At 35.9% G+C, this 15,621-nt stretch overlaps 1 protein-coding gene across 26 annotated transcripts in view; it reads left to right on the forward strand.

The window, feature by feature from the left end:
• Positions 1-15,621, forward strand: part of MBD5 (methyl-CpG binding domain protein 5) — a 496,045-nt gene that overhangs the window by 142,473 nt on the left and 337,951 nt on the right. For all 26 annotated transcript variants that reach the window (XM_047445056.1, XM_011511472.3, XM_047445068.1 and 23 more), the window contains one exon: positions 15,301-15,394. The gene's annotated coding sequence lies outside the window, so the exon portion shown is untranslated. The remainder of the gene's footprint in view (positions 1-15,300; positions 15,395-15,621) is intronic.

A 15,621-nucleotide genomic window follows, 5' to 3' on the forward strand; every position in this document is an offset into this window, starting at 1 on the left:
ATAAAGTTGCTTTGAGAATTAAATAACTTTTTTTTTTTCAAGACGGAGTTTCGCTCTTGTTGCCCAGGCTGGAGTTCAATGGCGTGATCTTGGCTCACTGCAACCTCCCAGGTTCAAGCGACAATCCTACCTCAGCCTAGCAAGTAGCTGGGATTACAGGCATGTGACACCACGCCTGGCTAATTTTGTATTTGTAGTACAGATGGGGTTTCTCCATGTTGGTCAGGCTGGTCTGGAACTCCCAAGCTCAGGTGATCTGTCTGCCTCAGCCTCCCAAAGTGCTGGGATTTACAGGCGTGAGCCACCATGCCCAGCCGAGAATTAAATAACTTAAATGTACAGTATTTAGAATAGCGCTTGGTATGTATGAATGTTCAATAAATGTTCATTTTTTTCATGTAGAAAACAATGTATTATGGGTAAAATTAGACTTTATAAAGTTGAGTTGAGATAAAAACTGAGATAAAAAGTGGTTGACATATGTAACCACTTTTATATAATGATTAGTATGGGGAAAATGCATTCTAATTACCAGACTACTGACTTCAAAAATGAGTGTTTGAAACACAACTTGTTTGTAAAATACTACATCTTTTACTAATTTTTTCATGTAGTGTTTACTATTTTTCTAGTAAGGCAAAGTGAATGATATGCCTACTGTGTGCTAATCAGCACTTTCATGTCATTGCATGTAATCCACAAACAGTCCTACTAGGTAGCTAGTAAGAACTTCATTTAAAAGGAGGAAGTTGGAACTTTAGAAGGGTCCAGTGATTTATGCAGATAGTAGCTGTTGTAATGTAGCCTCTATAACTCCAAGCTCAAAGCTTCTGCTACTATCTTCTGTTATTAACAGGGGAGAGGTTTGATACATGTAACAACTGTTATGCTACAGGCACCAACCATTCTGGCATTATAGTGGATGCCAGAATACTAGAGGATCCCTGTTGCACCAGGTGTTAACCTTAGGGTATATGGAGGTGTCTTGGTGGGGGTAGGGTCCATAGAGAAGGGGACATTTGGAGAGCTTGGAGCAGTGCCCATTTTCCAACCAGTATTTAAGTATTATATTATTTAGTATTTTAGCAACTAGTACAGCCACACTGTTCTTTCTGACCAAACATTAGCCATATAAAAATTTTGATATAACTAGTGTTATAATTAAGTATAAGAAAAAATTTAAAGACCATATTAATTTTTGTTTTCATGTTTTTTTCTACAAGACGTTTTTAGGACCAGGCATAATTGAGAATTTCTTCCTTGTAATTCTTGCTAAACTATAAGTACATAAATATTTGGTCCTGTTTCACTTACATTGATTGATTAATCACTGATTGTTTCAGTTCATTTCCTGTTGCCATAACAAGAATACCTGAGACTGGGTAAATGATAAGAAAAGATAATTATTTCTTACAGTTCTGAAGGCTAGGAAGTCCAAGACTGAGCAGCCAACATGTAGTGAGGGCCTTCTTGCCTTTATTATTTTCAGCCATTTTTTAAAAACTTTATGAACTTGTGGTAATTTAGAGGAAGAAGCTTACATGTTAATGTATTCTGTCCAAAATATTTCTCAATCTATTATAAATATCATGAAGGAGTTTATTGTTTACTTGTTTTCCAAATGTGAATTTGTTCTCAGTTATAACTTTCCTCTTGTTACATATTCTTTATCATCAAAGAAGAATAAAACAACGATCATTTTTACCTAACAATCTACATATTATGTGCTCAAATTTGCTAAAAGATCCAATCTCTTTATTTCGTAGTTTGGAAGCAACACAGATCACTGATTGTATTTGTTCCTCTTTTATCTTTTTTATGTGGTAGAAAAATTATTTGAATTACAGATGTTAGACAGTGAATATATTTTTCTTCATTTAGATTGTAATATTACATAGAATGAAATGAATTAAATATGTTAACTCTAATGCTTTTAGCCTGAACCACATGAAATTACCAATATTTGACCTTTTTACCAATAAAAAGGACAATTTCTCCAATTTAACCCAATATAGAAGCATATATTGCCAAAAATATTGAGTACTTTGAGGTAATCTTTTTATTATTTTCTCTGTTTCTGAAGTGAATATTTAATTTTTGTTTCAGTTACTAATGGTTAGTTGTTCTCTGTTGCAACTAGCCAATGAACAGGTTTTTTATATATTTTATATTTGATTTTTCTGGAAAGTGAACCCATCGTACTAAGATTAATTTACATGTATTGATTTGCAGTCTTCTGTGCCAATTTAAGTTTTTATGTAACATATTTTTATATAGGGCATATTTTATTATAAATATCTATGTCTATATCTGCAACAATATCTACAGCTCTATTCTCAGTGCTATAAAATCATGAGAAAATCATAGCATTATGAAGTCCAGCAACATAGGGAACATTTAATATTTGATTAGTTTTAAGTAGTATTTGAGACTATGTGTGAGAGGCAGTGTTAAGCCTTAAATCACTCATATGGAGCAAATTGTCTGATAATATTTTGGTTTAAACATTTGAATAGTTATTTTTCTGCATAGTGATTTCAGTTCATTATAAACAGAGAAGATTCAGCAAGTTTCTGGAAATATTTAACATACTTCACATTTTATTTTATGGCTTTTGTATTGTCACCTGTGAAATCTAAAATTATATTCCATTTATTTTTTGTACATCTTAAAAAACTTGACAGGACAATTCTCTAAATGTAAGAAAAAAATCTAATAAACAAGAATGACTCAGAAGCTCTTTATGGTTGCACTTGCTCATTCAGGTTTTATTTTTTGATTTGCGAGTTATTGCAAAGTCAGTAATGGCCCCATCTTTATTTACTCCTGTACATAATTTATGTAATCCAGACATCTTTTTTTGCTTATGAGGGTTTTATTTTCATGTCAGTGTGTTATTTTCCCTATCTAAACTCTTCATTATTTGTCAGATTGGCATAATATTGTGCTGCTCTGGGTAGGATTTGAAATATTATTCTCATCTGGTAAAAGATAGCTGTTTCTAGACATGATAAAAATCAGGCATTACTGCTGGCTTACAGAATTCCTTACATAAAATGGTTTCTTTTACTGTTATGAGTGCCTGCACCAAAAATCTGCAGAAACTCAGAGCCTAGTGTTTCTCCCAAGTGCTGGCTGTTTTGATGCTCTAGTCACATTAACTAACCTCCTTTTCCTACATCACTGAGGATGATAGGATACTGCTGTTCTTCTGTGTATTTGCGTTTTCTCTGCCTCTCATTTAATTCTTTAAGTATTTTCACATGAGGGTACTTCTCCACCTCCTTGCACAGAGTTCTAACACCTCTCCCTGCTATGTTTTCTGTGTGTGTGTGTGCCTACTGGAAATTGTTGGAATTATTTGTGCCTATTGGAATTTGTTGTGGTTATGTCAGAAATTTTCATTTTGTTTTGTTTTCTTCTGTATTTCTTTCTTTTATAACTTCTTAATATGTTCCTAATATGTAACTACTAATTGCATTTTTTTTTGTCAATTATGCTGGCTGAAGTGTTTTCCCTTGAGGATTTATTAATGAGGATTCTTTAATTGGGGGTTTTGTTTCTGTTTTTTTGATAATTTTTAAAGTCACATAGGCTGAAGTATGCATCATCTAAAAGATTATGCTTTACATTGTTAATGTCATAAATACTGGACAGAGCTTGTTTATATAAAGTCTTATAACAAATTTGATCTTTGCATATAAGCAGTTTATATGCTAATTTTAATCCTCTATAGCTGCATTTTGAAGCTGCTCCTTTAAAACATATCTACAGGAAAAGAATTTTTAGTCTTTATGCCGATTAAAATGGTATTTATTAAAAATCTTTTTCTATAAATTAATTCAAATATATCTTCCCTCTAGTTCCCTTCAAATTAGCCTTAATTATCAAATACTGATTCATTAGTCTACCATATCTTGTTGTTTAAACTTACATGATTTCCTTCTGTTTTTATACAGAGAATGTCTTCTAAGAAGACTGTAAGTTCTGATTCAGTTTTTTCTGCTTTAGCTCCTACAACAACCTAGTGATTTGTTCTGTTGAACACAGTGGAGTCACTGTTAGACCTATTCATTTCTTTGCTACTACCATGTAAATAAAGGATTGTGGTCTGCATTCTAGATTTTTTTAAAAACATTGAAGTAGATTTATGATAGCTTAATGAAATTTATCTTTATAATAGTGTTTTTCTTGGAATGGTAGTGTCTTGTATGTCCAGTACCCAAAAATGTTATCATTGCTCCATTAAAATACTGGAAAATATGTGATGTCCTTTAGGATCTCCTAATTTTTGTTGATAAAGACAACAGCTCATCCCTCTGTCCTCTTCCCACTTCAGAATCAGGGACCCATTTTCTACTTTATCATCAACAGGAACATCATTTTTTTTTTGAGCCAAATCCCACATCTTTTGCTATTTTTTATTTGGTGATTTGTTTGTTTGCTTGGTTTATTTTGTTTGTAATGGTGGCCCACCACCACTTTATTATATTTTGTTTGTTTTCACTTTGGGGCTAGTTAAATATGTTAAGTAATAGACTGCTGACTGGTAAAACTAATGCCTATATTTTACCATATTGCTTTAGACCTTTTAAAAAAATCATGATACCCTGTTAAGTACTTATTGGTTTCTTTTGGCTGAATCCGAAAGGGGGCAGTACAACTTTGGTGTTTAATTTGTGAAAGTATTTTTTTCTTGTTTGCTCCTACAAGTTCTAGTTCTATTCATCTAATTTGATGAATTATCCATTCATCAAACCATGGAGTTGGAAGAGACCTTCAAGGCTACCATGATTCAGAAGGAATTTAAATATAACCTCTGGTTAAATTCCTTCTTCAATAGCCCTGTCTCTTATCCAGTAATTTCATCCATATTTTTAGGATGAACCTGAACAGTGAAATCAGCAGTAGTTGTCACTGTTGCATTTCTTCCCTTCCCTTCTTTTTTCTCCACTATAGAACTTTCTAGCACTGAAAAATAATTTCTGGCATTCTGGAAATGTAGGCAATTCCCGTTGGTAGTCATAATGAGAAAAAGAGGAATATGATATTTGAGAAAAGTAAATGAAGATGATGTCAGTGGTAGTGATTTTTTAAGAAAGTCATGAAAATGATAAAGTGGGAAAGTAAACCTGGGATTTCAAACTGCACTCCATTGGAACCAGTGAGGAGGGATATACTACTAGAGATGTGTAATAGCTGGACATGGTGGTACACACCTGGAGTCCAAGCTACTTGGGAGGCTTAGATGGAAGATCATTTGAGCCCAAGAGGTCAAGGCTGTGGTGAGCCATGATTGCGCTATTACACTCCAGCCTGGGTGCCAGAGCGAGACCCTGTCTCAAATTAAAAAATAAAAATAAAAAAGAAGTGTGTCAGAGATATCTCTAAGGACTCAGTGCAGCAAGAAACAGAACCTGAGAAGATATAAAGAGAAGATAGCATAAACATACTAGTCATAAACTTCTAAAGGTGCCAATATTTGGATGGAAGCAGACAGTAAAATTATATTCCAAATATATATATAGGATATATATACATATATATACACGTGTATATATAGGATATATATACGTATAATATATATATATATATTCCAAAAGTAAAGTAGCTTCATAAGCATTTCTATAACACTGCGCAGAGGAAGTTCTTGAAAGGTACTAGCAAGAATGGAAAAATAAATGGAAATTACCCCTAAAGTTAAAATATATGAATTGTCATTGATCATATCTTTAGTTTGCTATCCTTCTAAAAATTTTGTTTTAGTGACTGTAGGCCTATTGACATAGACTTTCATGTTCACTTGATCTTAATCACCTAATTCTGTTTTTCTTCACAATATATTAATTTTCTCAACCTTGAATTCTTGATCCAGAGATTTTCAAGAACTCTATTTTTGAAGTCAGGGAGAAACTATATAGAATTAAGAGTAATGGATGAGCTGCCAGCTCATTCACTGAGTCCCAGCCTTATTAGATCATTAACGTCAACAAGCCCAATACATTGATAAGGTACATGTTCTTGGAACTATATTTGATAAAATATTATACTTCTTCCTCTCAGAAAAATCTCTCAAGGTGTTTGCATACAAGTTACACAAAAATCACTCACTGGTCTTCCCCAAGTAATGGATATAATAAAGGTGGGCTCTCAGAACCAGATTGCTTATTTATTCCAGCTGGAGAGATACCCTTAGCAGATCTGATAGACATTTTTAGAAAATGCTTGTGAGGAAAAAAAGAGTGCTTCTTTTTTAATCTCTAATGAAAATATTTCACTTACTGTTAATACTCTGAATAGCCTGGTTATTACGAACTTTCACAGAGATCTTTAGATTCTTTGTACTTTTTTTCAGTGAGCTCACATCCTACTGAAGCCATATTGTCTGGGCAAGTTGCAAGAGGGGTAAACACAAAGCTTAATTCGGTGGACAGGATTTAGAATTTCCTTTGGTTCTTTGTTCCTGAAAGTGACCTGGTCATACCCAATAAGGGATTCTTCTTTTTTTTTTTTTTTGAGACGGAGTCTCGCTCTGTAGCCCAGGCTGGAGTGCAGTGGCGCGATCTCGGCTCACTGCAAGCTCCGCCTCCCGGGTTCACGCCATTCTCCCGCCTCAGCCTCCTGAGTAGCTGGGACTACAGGCGCCCACCAACACACCTGGCTAATTTTTTGTATTTTTAGTAGAGACGGGGTTTCACCGTTTTAGCCAGGATGGTCTCGATCTCCTGACCTCGTGATCTGCCCGTCTCGGCTTCCCAAAGTGCTGGGATTACAGGCGTGAGCCACCGCGCCCGGCCCGGGATTCTTCTTTTCTTTGCGACAAAAGGATAATAGTTGCATTAAAATCATTTTAAAAGTAATTTAAGGCCCACTAAGAGAGTAATCTGGAATAAACCTACTAATAGTCTGAATTAGTACTAAGTAATGGCTGAAGTATGCTCAGGCTAAAATTATTCTCTGTGATAAAAACAGTTGATAAAACAAATCTGTGGATTGCATGATTAGAGCTATGGTTATACTGAAGAAATTTGGAATCTTTTAAACAGCAAATATAAGCTAAAAACATTTTTAATTCATTGACTGTTTGATTTCTGTTGAAATAAAGGATTCTTTGCGGTTTTATTTTATTTTATAACTTCTTGCTATGATTGGTTTCTGTTCAACTATGTATGATATTTGTGAATTAGAATTTTTTTAAAAGTCACCTGTCAGATCAGAATGACTGGGATCTTGAAGGCTACGAGAAAGTTGCATAATACTAATACTATGAAAACAATCACTGTTAAAAGTTTATGATTTGATATAATCCAATAGCTCAGGGAAGTAGAAAGCGTATTTTCTTTCTCTAAGAATTGCCTTATTTTAAAACTAGAATGAAATTTTATTGGAATGAAATGAAAGAGAAGACATTACAACTGATTCTACAGAAACAGAATGGATCATAAGAGACCACTATGAACAATTCTACACCAACCAATTAGATTACCTAGAAGTGGATAAATGCCTAGACATATGCAGCCTATGAAGACTGAATATGAAGAAACAGAAAATCTAAAAATACCAATGACAAGTAAGGAGATTGAATTAGTAATCAAAATCTCTCATCAAAGAAAAGCCCAGGACCTGATGGCTTATGGCAAAATTCTGTCAAACATTTAAAGCAGAACTAATACCAGTCCTTCTCAAACTCTTCCAAAAAATCAAAGAGCAGATAATACTTTCAAACTCTTTTTATGAGGCTAGCATTACTCTGATACCAAAGCCAGACAAGGACATTTAAAAAAAGAAAATTACAGGCCAGTATCCTTATGTATATATTATGCAAATATCCTCAACAAAATACTAGCAAACCAAATGCAACAACGCATTAAAAATATCATCCACCATGATCCAGTGTTATTTATCCCTGGGATGCAAGGACAGTTCAAAATACAGAAATCAATAAATGTGATACATTGCCTTAACAGAGTGAAGGACGTATGATCATCTGATACGGATGAAGAAAAAATACTTGACAAAATTCAACATCCTTTCATGTTAAAAAACTGTCACCAAATTAGGTATAGAAGGAACTCAACACAATAAAGACTATGTATGACATTCAGCTAACATCATACTGAATGGGAAAAGCTGAAAACTTTCCCTCTAAGGACCAGAAAAAGACAAACATACCCACTGTTACCTCTCTTTCTCATTATAGTACTGGAAGTCCTAGCCAGCACAGTTAGGCAAGAGAAAGAAAGAAAAAGCATCCAGATAGGAAAAGAAGTAGTAAAACTATTGCTGTTTGTTGATAACATGATCTTATGTATAAAAAACCCTACAGATTCTACCAAAAAACTATTAGAATAAACAAGTACAGTAAAGTTGCAGGATACAAAAAATCAACATACAAAAATCAGAAGCGTTTCTATACACTTAAGTGAACTGTCCAAGAATCAAGAAAATAATCCCATTTACAATCGCTACAAACAAATTTAAGAATAAATTTGCCTGGGCACTGTGACTCATACCTATAAACTGAGCACTTTGGGAGGCTGAAGTGGGAGGATCACTTGACACCAGGAGTTCATGACCAGCCTGGACAGCATAGCAAGACCCCATCTCTACAAAGAATTTTGAAAGTTAGCCAGGTGCAGTGGCATGTGCCTGTAAGTCGCAGCTACTCAGGAGGCTGAGGTGTGAGTGATGTCCACAATGGCCTGTCTGGAACTGCCCCTGCAAAGAATCCAGCTGCAGGGGGGGAGGTGCAGCCAAAGCTGGGTGCTCTGAGGAGCCTGCAGGAACCAGGAACAGCACCTGCAGCCACCCAGCAGTGGCTGTAGACCCTGGCATCCCTGCGCTATCAGAAGCCTGGGAAGCCCACCCTGCCCCTGCAGGCTCCAAGACACCTGCTCCTGCTGCCTGGCCTCTCCTTGCTCCCGGTGCCTGCTCCCATTTCAGAGCAAGGTTGAAGGCGAGCTGAGGCACTCTTGTGACCAGTCAAGTGTGTGCATGCTCGGGGCTGTGCAGACATGCCAGCTCCCACTGCCACCTCAGCCCCCTCTGAAACTTTGGGAGGGAGGCCTGGGGTTGGGGAAGGCAGAGGGTGGCTGGGGCAGGCCTGTTGGCTATTCCCCTCCACAGGAATAGCCTGGCTGCCCTGGTTGACATGATTGATGGCAGCAGGAGACAGACAGGCTCCTGGGTGGAAAGGGGCAGGTCCCTGGTGAAGCCCCACCTTCAGACTAAGGACAGCCTGAAGCGTGGGTGCTAGGCTGTTAGTTCCAGGTGGAGTCTGCCAGTCAGAGTGAAAACTTATGATGCTTTTTCCAGACCCGCCATGGCTGCCCATGGACCAGTCACCATGTACTTCCTCCCTTCTGAAGCCCATAAAAACTCTGGACTCAGTCAGACTCATACAGACCGTTGGGACTACCAGGTGCGGGAAGGAGCTACCCATTTCAGGTCTCCTCAGCTCTTAATTACCAGCCTGCAGAAATCAGCCACCCACCATGGGTCTCCTCGCCACTGAGAGCTGGACACTCATCAGGACGACCTGCCTGCGGAAAAGAGCTACCCACTTCAGATCTCCTGAGAGCTGCTCTGTTGCTCAGTGAAGCTCCTCTCTGCCTGCTCACCCTCCAGTTGTTCGCGTACCTCATTCTTGCTGGATGGTGAGACAAGAACTTGGGACCCGCCGAATGGCACCACTGAAAGAGCAGTAACAAACAGGGCTAAAACACGCCCCCCACTCACCACAATGCGGGCGACTAGAAAGAAAGACGAGCTGTAACCCTTCTGGGAGCCCAAACCAGGGGGCTCCTTGAGCCAGTGCTGTGACACCCTCTTTGTGGCTCTGTGTATCCTGGCATCTCCAAGCTTCCACGAGCCACTGTGTTCCCAGGTGTCTCCGGTGGAAATTGCTTGCGGTATGCCTGGTCCAGCCATAGCCTTGCACGTAGCTGGTGCCTTTGCCAGCGCCTGGGGCAGCCCACCCCGCTGCAGTCAGCACGCCTGGCTCTGCGCAGTGGTCGGACCCCACGCTTGCTCACACACCCGTTGCCACTCCTTGCCAGGCTCACCCTTGGCAAGTGTGGATCTGGGCCAGTATCATGAGCTGAACTCAGTCTGCGTGCTCAAGTGGACAGAATGAGCCCAGTGGACCCTAGCAAAACTCAGGCAAAGGCGCCACTAGCCACAGAGGTTTCTGGCTGGCAAAGTGACACCCCAAGGATCCCATAATGGGAGATTTGCTTGTGCCCAGCAGTAAAGAGGCTACAGTGAGCTATGATCCTGCTCCTGCACTCCAGCTTAGGTGACAAAGCAAGACTCTGTCTCATAAATAAATAAATAAATCTAACTACACAGGTTCACTGAAAACTAAAACATTGATGAAAGAAATTGAAGAAGACACAAATAAATGGAAAGATATCCCATGTTTATGCATTGAAGAAACTAATATTCTTAAAATGCTCATATTACCCAAAATTATCTACAGATTCAATACAATCCATATCAAAATTCCAACATCATTTTTCATAGAAATAGATTAAGAAATCCTAAAATTTATATGGAACCACAACAAAAACTTGCATAGCCAAAGCAATCATGAGCAAAAAAATCAAAGCTGGAGGCATCACACTACCTGAATTCAAATTGTACTACAAACCTATAGTAATTAAAAATACTGTAGTGCTAGCAAAAAAAATTAAAATAAAAATGAACACATCCCCAGTGGACTGGAATAGAGAGCTTAGAAATGAGCCCATGCATGTATGGTCAATTGATTTATGACAAAGATGTCAACAATAAACAATGGCAAAGGATAGTCTCTTTAATAAATGATGTTGGGGAAAGCTGGATATCCACATATAGAAGAACAAAATTGGACCCTTATTTCACTCCATATACAAAAATCAACTCAAAATGGATTAAAGACTTAAATGTTAAGACCAGAAACTGTAAAACTCCTAGAAGAAAACTTAGGGGGAAAACTGCAAAATTGGTCTGGGTATTGATTTTTTGGATTTGACCGCAAAAGTGCAGGCAACGAAAACAAAAATAGATAAAGGGGATTATATCAAATGAAAAAGCTTCTGTACAGCAAAAGAAACAATGTACAGAGACAGCCTACAGATTGGGAGAAAATATTTTCAAGTCATACATTGAATAAGGGGTTAATATCCAAAATATATAAGAAGCCGAAACACCTGAATAGCAAGAAAATTTTAAAAAAAAACATTAAAAATTGGAAACGGACCTGAATATACATTTCTCAAAAAAAGGCATCCAAAAGTCCAACTGATACAAGAAAAACTTCTCAACATTGCTAATCATTCAGGAAATACAAATTAAATCTGTAATGATATATAATTTCACACCTCTCAGAATGACCATTACCAAAAAAAAAAAATACAAAAGATAACAAATGTTGATGACGATGTAAAGAAAAGGAAAACTTTGTACACTGTTGGTGGAAATGTACACATGTGGAAAACTGTGTGAAGGTTCCTCAATAAACTAAAAATAGAATTATCTGATGATCCAGCAATCCCATTTCTGGATATTCACCCAAAACATTTTAAATTAGTTTGTTTTAAGAGATGTCTGCACTTCCATGTTCTCTGCAGAGCTGTTCACAATAGCCAAGTTACAGAATCAAACTAAGATGATGAATGGATAAAAAGTAGAGTATGGTAAAATTCAAGATTGCTAAGAGAGTAAATTTCAAATATTCTCACCACAAAGAATATTAAGTATTTGAGGTGGACATGTTTACTGGCTTCATTTAGTTATTTTGCATTGTATTCATAAATCATAACTTCACTTCGTATTTTATAAATATATATAGCTATTGTGAAAATACAACAAAACATTGAAATTGCAGTCATATTTTAAGAAGGTATAATTTTTTGTAAGAGAATTGAAAATGTTTTAAAACCACAAATTTATATCTCAGTATTGACCATACTTAATGGATCTTGATGTGATTAGGCACATAGAATATTACATTTAGAAGCAAGACCAAGGTTTTAAGAAAACTCTTTGTATCATAGAGACCTTATTATATTATTTAGATTGCACAGGAATAATAGAATGTATGTACAGCTAAGTGGGGCTTAGTAATCATCTTTTTTGTGAGGAATAAGAAAAGTTGGAAGTGGAACACCATGGCATTCTGTTTGCAGATGGAAAACCTGACCAAAGATATCTTCATATTAATTTCTGAGGCTTCCAGAGTTATTGGAGATTTTAGGTTACTGGATGGGGCCTTCAGAAAATACCATAGTTAATTGTAGACTGCTGGAGTTTGAAATCCAGTTCTTCCAGTTATTAGCTATGGAACCTTGGATAACTTATGTAATCTATGTTCCTCACTTTCTTTATCTGTAAAATATAGATGATAATAGCACTTCTTTATTTTCTACTTTTTAAGAACATAAGCACTTCTTAGGATTGTTGTGAGAATTAACTGTACTACTTATAATTTAGAACTCAGTAAATGTTAGCTATTATTTACTATATTTAAAAGCAAGAAATAAGTTTTAGTAATTTACATGACAAATGTTAGTGCTACTTAACAATGCCTGTTATCTGGAAACTTGTATTTTTAATCATTAAAGATTAATATGATTGAATTCTTTTGTGATGTAGACTATTTGTGATTTACAGAGCTATTGGTTCTTATTAAAAAAGATAAACTGCAATGATAAACTGTGGATTGATTTGAATTTGTAGAAAATCTGAGATCTTTAGCATTACATGCATGTAAAAAGAATACTTTATTAAGAGTACTTCAAACTAGGTAAGGAAAATAAGAGCTAAAGTATAGTTTTCTTTTCTGGTTTAGTAGTTTTTAAGGTCTCCATCCTTGTTATGTATAACAAAGACTCAGATAATTACCTCTGTTTATTAGAGTTTTGTTTTTTTTTTTTTTTTTTCAGAAAAAAATCTTAAATGGTATATGTGTATGAATATATTTTTATTGCAAAGTATTTGGGGACCTGTTTATAAGAATTTTCTTGCTTTTTTTTTTTTTTTGAGACAGAGTCTTGCTCTGTTGCCCAGGCTAGATTGCAGTGGCATAATCTCAGCTCACCGCAACCTCTGTCTCCTGGATTCAAGAGATCAATTCTCCTGTCTCAGCCTCCCGAGTAGCTGGGATTGTAGGCGCACACCACCACACCCAGCCAATTTTTGTATTTTTAGTAGAGACAGGGTTTCACCATGTTGGCCAGGCTGGTCTCGAACTCCTGACCTCAGGTGATCCACCTGCCTCAGCCTCCCAAAGTGCTGGGATTACAGGCTTGAGCCACTACGCCCAGCAACAATTTTCGAAACTAAAACATTAATAGCCTATTTCATGTCATTTTTAGTAGTTATGAGAGAGAGAGAGACGATTCAAGACTTCATAAAATTTTTGACTTTGTATTTAAACAGAAAATTAAGCTAGGAGTGCTTCTCCCCAGCCTGCCACCCCCACTAACTTAAGGACAAAAAAAAAAAAAAAATTAATTCTGAGCCATCAAGGGCATGTTTCTAGTTATATGTGAGGTTTTCAGTAAAATTTTCATTATGGAATATAACATTTCCCTCTTTTTTGCCACAGTATTTTATTGATTGTCTACCTACACAGTTTACCTAAGAGGATAGCAAAGCTTACAAAAGATATAATCCATAAACATGATTTTAGTATGTCTATATTGATTTATTGCTGAAGTCCTATTTACTATATGTTCAAAGTTCCTTCCTAAGCTGGTGGGTCTCAGGATTATCTTTAAAGATTAGAAATATAATCTTAGAAAACTCAAGAAGTATTTACATAAATGCTAACAATGAGAGTCTAGTAATAGTCAGTGTTCATATGTGTGCTTTAGATCACAATTCTACACGGACTGTAGATCTACATTATAATCAAGATGCCTGTAAAGAATAGAGAATCTGCCTCAGCCTAGTTCTGAACCAGAACTGTGGGCATGCACCTGGGGTTCTAGATTTTAAAGTGCTACTTTGGTCCTTAAGTGCATTACAGTTTGAGATTCATGCCAGATACTAATTGCATCATGCTTGCATCCTTGTATCTAAGATATTACATGGTCATTGAGGTATGTTTGTGTGTATCATGGAAGCTTTCAAATCATTTTGACATTTAGTATTTGTATTAGAAATAACTCAGTGTTTTTCATAGACATCTGTAAATAGTATTTTTGGAAGTTAATGTCTTATTAATATGTAGAAACTAAGCTAAATATTTGCAGTGAAATTGTTTCTCAACTGGAGAAAAAGATATCCTTCCTTCATGCTTTTTAAAAATACCTGAGCCCTGGCCCTACCTCATACTAATTAAACCATAATATGTAAAGAATATGCTGAGTGTGAATATATTTTAAAAGTGTTTCAAGTGTTTGATTGTACAGCTGCAACTGAAAAACCGACATCTGCACTAATGACCAAAAGGAGCAATGATAATTGCTAATCCAAAAATCATTTATGTTTGGCTTGAGAATCTACAGTACTCAAAACCACTTACTTGGGAGGATGAGAAAGGAGGATCTCTTGAGCTCAGGAGCCCAAGACCAGCCTGAGCAACACAGGGAGACCCTGTCTCAAAACAAAACAAAAACAAAAAGTACATATTAAGTATGGCACTGTAGAATCCAAATCCTGTTTCCCTAACTGCATTGTCAAGGAATTCACAATCAAGTTCTTTAGGCAAAAAACACTCTCTCTGGATAATCACATTTGTCTATTAGAGGGAATTTTATTTAAAGGGCTTTTTTTTTATGCTAAGTTTAGCAGGTTGGTGTAAAGTACTGACTGGGGAGATTTAAGTAATAAGAGGAATAGAATTTTGAATTTTTCATGAGGACAGAATACTGAACTAATTGATTTCTATGATTTTGGCTTTTATAAGCAACTCAAGTGTAATTAAGAATATTTTTGTAATAATTTTGAGCAGGGAAACTATTTTTTAGAATGGGGCTCTGTTCATGCAGGACACCACAATTTATGTATTTTAAATCGTATAAAAATTTTGCATAGAAACTAGGTAGGCAGATCAAATTAGTATTATAGAAAGTACTCAACTCTGTGACATGGATCATAACTTACGTTCCACAAAATATTCTGATTCTTCTAAACGGTTAATCTTAATGTTATTGCTGTTTGTTTACATAAAATATGTCCTATAATACATCCCTTTGCCCAGGCTTATTATATAAAGTCATGAAGAATAATTTCAATTTTTTTATATTTAAACTAAATGAAGCAATATCTATAATCTCAAATTCATTATATTTTCTTATGCTTCTCTTTTAGATGTACATTGAAGATGTCAGTTTCTACATGTGGGAAGTAGACATTGAAGGCTTTATGGTTTACAGACAAGATCTTTAGAAGATAAGCACTAAAGGTAAGTAGTAACTATAGCCCCATATATAATTTCATGTAAATGGTTAGGGTTGTCAGATTATAATTCGACTTGTTAAACTTGTTTACTTTTTATCACTGCTCCTGTCTAAGTTACCTCACAACTGCATTCATTCATATTCAGACACAAATTTTTATTCCATAATATCATCTTGACAGAAAGTATCAGATTTCATTTGTAATAAGCGGTTGATTAAAAAATAATAAATT

Source organism: Homo sapiens, chromosome 2 (assembly GCF_000001405.40).
Source record: "Homo sapiens chromosome 2, GRCh38.p14 Primary Assembly".
Taxonomy (NCBI): domain Eukaryota; kingdom Metazoa; phylum Chordata; class Mammalia; order Primates; family Hominidae; genus Homo; species Homo sapiens.